The 7,780-nt window shown below is 45.8% G+C and overlaps 1 annotated feature.

The window, feature by feature from the left end:
* Positions 4,192 to 4,421: an enhancer, noted in NCBI's record as "active region_15860". NCBI's record gives its function as "activates an Ori minimal core promoter by ATAC-STARR-seq in GM12878 lymphoblastoid cells {active_cell/tissue: GM12878}" and the evidence as "EXISTENCE:reporter gene assay evidence [ECO:0000049][PMID:35858748]".

A 7,780-nucleotide genomic window follows, 5' to 3' on the forward strand; every position in this document is an offset into this window, starting at 1 on the left:
CTTTTTGCGTAAACTGGATTCTTAGCGCTCACAAAACCTCAGAATTCTTTGTGAGCCTGGAGTTTGCATACCTGTCCTGCCTTCCCTTTCCTTAGCCCGGGTGGTCTGGCAGAGCTGGGAAGGTCGTTGCAGAGTATAAGGTGTACCACTTTCCCCCCAGGGCAAGAGGCCTCTACACCCACCTGGGGCTTCACTGTGGCTGGCCTTGGGTTTGAGCCCTGCCTTTGAACACAGCAGGGGGACACAGTCCCTGCCCTGGGCTGGAAGTAGTTGATTCACGCTGCTGTAACAAAATACCATACACTGGGCAGCTTATAAACAACAGAAATGTATTTCTCATAGTTGTAGAGGCTGGGAAATCCCAAGATGAAAGTTCTGGCAGATTCAGTGTCTGTTGAAGGTCTGCTTCCTGGTTCATAGATGGCGCCGTCTCAATGTGTCCTCACTTGGTAGAAGGAGTGTCGATGAAAAGAGTCCAACTCTGTAAAATATTTGAAGAGATTTATTCCGAGCTAAATATGAGTGACCCATGGCCCATGACACAGCCCTCAGGAGGGCCTGAGAACATGCGCCCAAGGTGGTCAGGGCACAGTTTGGTTTTATACATTTTAGGAAAACATTAGTGTATTAGTCCTTTTTCATACTGCTATAAAGAATGGCTTGAGACCAGGTAATTTATAAAGAAAAGAGGTTTAATTGACTCACAGTTCAGCATGGCTGGGGAGGCCTCAGGAAACTTATAATCATGGCAGAAGGTGAAGCAAGGCACCTTCTTCACAAGGCAGCAGGAAGGAGAAGTGTTGAGCGGAGGGGGAAGAGTCCCTTATAAAACCATCAGATCTCATGAGAACTCACTCACTATCACAAGAACAGCATGGAGGGAACTATCCCTTGATTCAATTACCTCCACCTGGTTTCTCCCTTGACATGTGGGGATTATGGGGATTACTCTTCTAGATGAGATTTAGGTGGGGACACAGAACCTAACCATATCAATGAGACATCAATCTAATACACATAAATGTACATTGGTTTGGTCCAGAAAGGTAGGACAACAGGAAGGAGTGGGGGACTTCCAGGTCATAGGTAGATTCAAAAATTTTTCTGATTGGCAATTGGTTGAAAGAGTTAAGTTATTGTCTAAAGACTTAGGAATGCCTGGGATAAGATAAGGGGTTGTAGAGGCAAGGTTTTCTCATGCAGGTAAAGCCTCTAGGTAGTGGGCTTCAGAGAGAATAGATTGTAAATGTTTCTTATCAGACTTAAAGAGTCTGTTCTATCAGTAATTCCAAAAAGGAGGAGGGTATAGGGAGGCAGTCTGACCCCTCCTTTCCATCATGGCCTGAACTAGTTTTTCAGGTTAGCTTTGGAATGCCCTTGCCAAGAGGAGGGGTCTGTGCAGATGGTGCGGGGCTTAGAATTTTATTTTTGGTTTACAGGAGCAAGGCAGCTCCCTGGGCTTTTTCTACAAAGGCTCTAATCCCACTCATGAGGGCACAGCCCTCACAACCTAATCACCCCCAAAGGCCCCCCCAACCCACCTCCTAACACCATTACCTTGGGGGTTAGGATTTTAACCAGAGAGGAGGAATTTTGGGGGAACACAAACATTCAGACCTTGGCACTCAGGAAGCTGGGAAATGATACCAGGTATTGGAGAGGAAAAATGGCTTTCCTCTATCCTTCTGGTTCATTGGCTAGGCTACTAATTACATTGACATTAGACAGATTAACAGGGGGAAAAACATGTTTAATTCCATGCATACACATGGGAGACCCACAGAAACAGGAGAGTCACAGAAGGGCCAAATGATTGGAGGTTATATAGCATCCTGAGCTACAGAAAGGAACAGGGGCTTGGGGCTTCTGGGGGGTTACCTTACACAGATGAAAAGTCTCTCAGGTAATAAAGCTTGTCTAAGCAGCCTTCTTCCTAATACAGATACTTTTACTAAGGTAAACTTCCTTTATAGATGTGTTTTTTTTTTTTTATAAAAAGAAAGCTTTTCAGAGCTACCCCTGTCTGCAGTTTCTCAGAATAACCAGCTCAAAATATACCAATGAAGTGTATTTTGGGGTGGCATATTTGGGTCTCCTACAGTAATATTTTTGGGTGGTGTGTCCTGAGCCCCAACACAGAAAGACAAACGATGGGGTCTGAGGACAGGTGAGCCAGCCTGAGGGTGAGTGGCTTTGGGTGGGGGACTGGGGAAAGGTCAACTGAATGAGCTGAGGATAGGGATGGGGTATCACATATTCAGGAAATGCTGAACACCCTGGGGGAGGGAAAGAAAACCTGGGGGTTAGAAAGCATGTCTACCAGGTGGGGCATGGTGGCTCAAGCACTTTGGGAGGCCGAGGCAGGTGGATCACCTGAGGCCAGGAGTTTGAGACCAGCCTGGCCAACATGGTGAAACCCCATCTCCACTAAAAATACAAAAAAGTTAGCCAGGGGTATTGGTGTGCACCTGTAATCCTAGCTACTTAGGAGGCTGAAGCAGGAGAATCTCTTGAACTCGAAAGGCAGAGGGTTGCTGTGAGCTGAGATCACGCCACTGCACTCCAGCCTGGGCGACAGAGCAAGACTCCGTCTCAAAAAAAAAAAAAAAAAAAAAAAAAAAAAAAAAAAAAAGCATGTCTACCAGTTTTCAAGTTGAAACACTGCCTCTCCTTCTTATTCTCCTACAATTCTGCTTCCATGGGTTTTCTACATGTGGCAGTGGTTAGGAGGAGTTTTGCAACATTTCAAACAAATGAGCTTTGTGTTTGTAGGGAAGGAAGGCTATCTAAACACTGATATGTCTAGAGAGACTGGTGAAGAACTTTTCCAAATGGGCTGCCAGGCTCTGCAAGCCAGTGAGCTCAGAGAAAAGCTCATCAGGGCCAAGAGAGAACTCTTTCTATATCCTCAGGATCCAGCCCTAGGTACCCGGGACAGCATTCTCTTCCCACCCAGAGAAGCCAGGGTTCCACAGAACTGAGCCTCCTTCCAGCACTAGCGGCTGGTGGGGGTTGAGGATTACCCGTATTTCATCCAACTGGAGACACCATCCACTGTAAGCTGCACTGTTATTTTATGTACCATTATGCAAGAAAAAAAAAAGCCAAATATGGAGACACCACTTAAAAGCTGGGATGCTGTAAGAAAATAAGTCTTCCCACAGGAGTGGCAGGCTGGAAATGCGCACGTCTCAATCCTGACACTGTGGAGGGAGGAACAACAATTCTCTCCTGACAATTTGAACCACGAGCCTGTGCTCATGCAGATTTGAGGTCTGAATTCATGCTGTCAGTGTGGTCTGAAAAAGTCAAGCTGAAAATTAATTTAATGTGGTCTCAGGTTGGTGGTGACCTAGAAGTGACTGGCAGCTGTGCATCATTTCCAGGAGAACTCAGCTTCGCATTGCAGGACGCCACTCATTTTAAAACACATCCTGGTTTCAGTGATGTTAAATATGAAGAAATGTGTTGCTTAAAATTAATGATGAAGGGGGCCAGGTGCGGTGGCTCACGCCTGTAATCCCAGCACTTTGGGAGGCTGAGGTGGGTGGATCATGAGGTCAAGAGATTGAGACTATCCTGGCCAACACGGTGAAACCCCATCTCTACTAAAAATACAAAAATTAGCTGGGCATGGTGGCGCGTGCCTGTAGTCCCAGCTACTCGGGAGGCTGAGGCAGGAGAATCACTTGAATCCGGGAGGCAGAGGCTGCAGTGAGCCAAGATTCCACCACTGCACTCCAGCCTGGCAACACAGCGAGACTCCATCTCAAAAAAAAAAAAAAAATTAATGATGTATGGGCATGAAACGGATGTGACGTTGGCTGAACTTATTACTAACTTTTCCAGGTTTGTCTGGAACGTTCCTGGTTTTAGCTCTAAAAGCCATGCTCCCTATGAAATCCCTCAGTCCCAGATGAACCACAAAGGTTGATCACTCCACCCATCTGGTTGTCTTTTGGAGTTATCTCCTCTGGCCTAGGGGGCCTTGTTTTTACAGGGGTGGGATGATTGTACCGCAGCACGGACACCTGACCTGGGGGGAGAATAGGGGAATATGGAAATTTAAACTCAGGAATCTGAAGAAATGAGAACACTTTCGGAGAACACTAGGCCTGGCCTAGTTATTCAGTTTCTCTTGGGTTCCTGTGCATTGAAATAATTTCAATAAATTCTCCCTTTTATTTACGTGCTCTTTGAGGGGTGGGGTAATTTCAGTATATCTCTGGCCTTTATAGCTAATGGGGCCCTGACTGAGGTAGGGAGGCAGCCCTGAAAGGCTTTTTAGAGGCTCCAAGACTAGCCTAGGCGCCAGGCTTGCCACTTGGAAAGCTTCCAAGAGAAACCAGCGATGCCTGTCAGCGGGTCTGTGTATGTAGGGGATGGGCTCTCCTTAGGCAGATTTGTCTAAATGAAGCAGAAGTACCATGAGCTCCATCCAACACTGTTGTTATTCTCACAACCCTGTAATTAGAATGATGTGAATTATTCCCTAAACAAAGGCCTAGAGAATAGTTTAACCATCTCTGTTTTATTTGTGTACTAAATAACTGTACTTGGAGTCATGTTTGTTTCCAAGCTCCTTATCACGTGTTTTCCTTTTTCTCTTCCCTGCCTCCTATACCAGTAAACTTCTTGAGGGAAGAGTAAGGTTCTCCTGCTCATACCTGCCTCTCCCAGGGCCCAGCATAGCTGCTTGTTTTCCTGTAAGCTCCTCGAGGACAGGGAGTGGGCCTCTGTGTGTTCCTAACGCCGAGCACCATCGTGACACCTAATAAGTTCTCAGTGAGTGAGTGCTGAACTGAGCTGCCACTTGTAGACTCACCAATAAATACCTGAGCCAAGGATGACGGATTTCCTCATCCAGTCATTCACTGAGTAGTTAATGAATTTGTATTATACGCCTCCATGCAGCTTACATTCTACTGAAAGGCAGACCAAAACCTAGTAAACAGACAAATAAAGTCAGAATAAGGTATGGTAAATGCTGTGGGAAACAAAAAGGAGAAAGAGGCCTAGTTGAGATAGAATAGCCAGGGAAAAACCCCTCTGAGGAGGTGACAGCTGTGAGAAAGGAAACACTTTCTCCCCACTCTCTTAGGTTCAGTGTTGGAGGCCTGTGAATTAAACTGACAAAAGACAGATTGGCAAAACAAAAACAGAATTTTACTCACATACATACATGGGAATTCACAGAAAAATGTGGCTCAAAGAGGTGATTAGGATTGGGGGCTTATATATCTTTTTCACAGGCTCTCAGATGAAAGACCTTTGTCTTTTGGCGGTAGCTCTGACATTTTATGACACAATATACACCCTTAATAGGAGAAGGGGATGGAGAGAAAGGAGACTGGAAAACCAGCGACTTCTAGAAAAGATAAATGGGCCCTAAGGCAAATAGATATGAGGGAGATATGATAGTTTTGTGACCATGTCTATTTAGGAGAGTTTTTATAGCCTTGTGGCTTCCCCTCTGGTGAAGGGAGTCACTCTTCCATGGTTGGGAAACCTCTGGGAAGGGGATCTATGATGGTTGCATTCTTTTGGGAGGCTCTGCTTTTAGGCAGAAAGGGGAGTTTAGGAAAGAAACTCTCTTCACCATGGTATGTTCTGGATCCTTTTGCTAGAAAGTTGGTTTCTTTTTTTTTTTTTTCTTGAAACAGAGTCTTGCTCTGTCACCCAGGCTGGAGTGCAATGGCTTGTGGATGTCCTTCTGCAGCTTTCTCTGTATTCATTGTTATGGACTGAATTGTGTCCCTCCAGATTCATACGGCGAAGCCCTAAACCCCTAATTCGACTGTATTTGGAGGCAGGGCCTACAAGGAGCTAATTAAGATTTAGTGAGGTCACAAGGGTGCAGCCTAAAGCCAAAAGGACCGCTGTCCTTATAAGAAGGGAAAGAGACACGAGAGAGCTCCCACTTCTCTCCTAAGCAAGCACAAAGAAGGGGCCATATGAGGACATAGGAGAAGGCAGCTGTCTACAGGACAGGAAGAAAGGCCTCACCAGAAAGCAGCCCTGACAGCATTTTGATCTTGGACTTCCGGCCTCCAGAACTGAGAAAATAAATCTCTGTTGCTGAAGCCACCCAGTCTGTGGTATTTTGTGATGGCAGCCCTAGCCAACTAATAGACTCGGATTAGTATACACAAAGATCCGTGCACAGGGAGTGTGTCTTATTTGATGTTTATTTGAGCAAAAATGGGATTGGGCTATACTCTCTTTCCTCTGAAACTAGCCTTAGTCATTAACACTATTAAATGGCCGTCTGGCTTCTTGCTGACACCCCACATCCAGTTCCATCAGGACGTCCTGCAGGCTCCACCTTCAAAATCCATCTGGAATCAGACTGCATCCCCCCACCTCGTGGCTTCCACTTGGTGCAAGCCCAATCCTGTCTCTCTCACTTAGCTACAGCAGCCTCTACACCCCTCTCTGCTTCCACCCTTGTCCCTTCAGTCCATTCCCCTCACAGCAGCCAGAGGAACCCTTTGAAATCTGTCAGATCACGTTGCTCCTCAGCTTAGAAATCTTAACTGGTTTCCATTCTACTCAGAGTAAAAACCTATCTTAGCCAGGTGGGGGGAGTGCATTCATTGTCTGTTACTCGGGAGGCTGAGGCAGGAGGATTGCTTGAGTCCAGGAGTTCAAATGCAGCCTGAGCAACACAGTGAGACCCCATCAGTAAAAAACCAAAAAAACCAAAACCAAAGTCTTCACCAGGAGCTGCCAGGCCCTACGTGGTCTACAACATGCATATACATCCCCCGCCCCCCAACATCCCTGCTCTGCTCTCTGACCTTCCCTCCCATCCCCATCTCCTGCTACCCTGGCCTCCTTGATGCTACTAGATCACACTAAGCACATTCCCAAATCAGGGCCTTGGCACTCAGTCTGGAATGCCCGTCCTCCTGATGGCCACAATGTTCCTTCCCTCACTTCCTCCCGGGCTCCATCCCCCAACCCACCACCATTATTCTTCATAGCATTTCTCACCAGCTGATACTATATACTTATTTATTTGTTTATGGCCTGTCTTCCTCCACTAAGATGTGAAATGCATGAGCAAAAAACCTTGTCTTATTCCCTGCTATATCCCTAGCATTTAAACAGTACTAGGTTCATAGATGATGCTCAGTAAATATTCAATAAAGAAATCTCTCCAAGTCACTAAACATAAATATAACAACCTTTTCAATGGTTTTATAACATGTGCTAATATGAATAGATCACAATTCACGAAACCATCTCCCGTTAATGATGTATATGTTGTTTTTCACTTTTTGCTACATTAAGCGATGCTTGTGACAGACATTTTTACGTACCCTTCTCTATTAGTCCTTTTGTTTCTATAGGATATCTTCTCTAAAGCTGGATTGGTGTGTCAAGAGATAGGCATCGGCTGGGTGTGGTGTCTCACACCTGTAATCCCAGCACTTTGGGAGGCCGAGGTGGGCAGATCATGAAGTCAGGAGTTCGAGACCAGCCTGACTAACATGGTGAAACCCCATCTCTACTAAAAATACAAAAATTAGCCGGGCATGGTGGCGTGTGCCTGTAATCCCAGCTACTCAGGAGGGTGAGGTAGGAGAATCTCTTAAACCTGGGAGGCAGAGGTTGTGGTGAGCCAAGATCACGCCACTGGACTCCAGCTTGGTCATGACAGAGTGAGACTGCATCTCAAAAAAAGAAAAAAAAAATGAGAGAGATAGACATCAAGTTTGAATAGCCATTAGTGCTTTTCCTTAGTCACTGTTCATAGACAAATCCCCAAGCAAGG

The sequence above is a fragment of the Homo sapiens genome, chromosome 2 (assembly GCF_000001405.40).
Source record: "Homo sapiens chromosome 2, GRCh38.p14 Primary Assembly".
Lineage (NCBI taxonomy): Eukaryota > Metazoa > Chordata > Mammalia > Primates > Hominidae > Homo > Homo sapiens.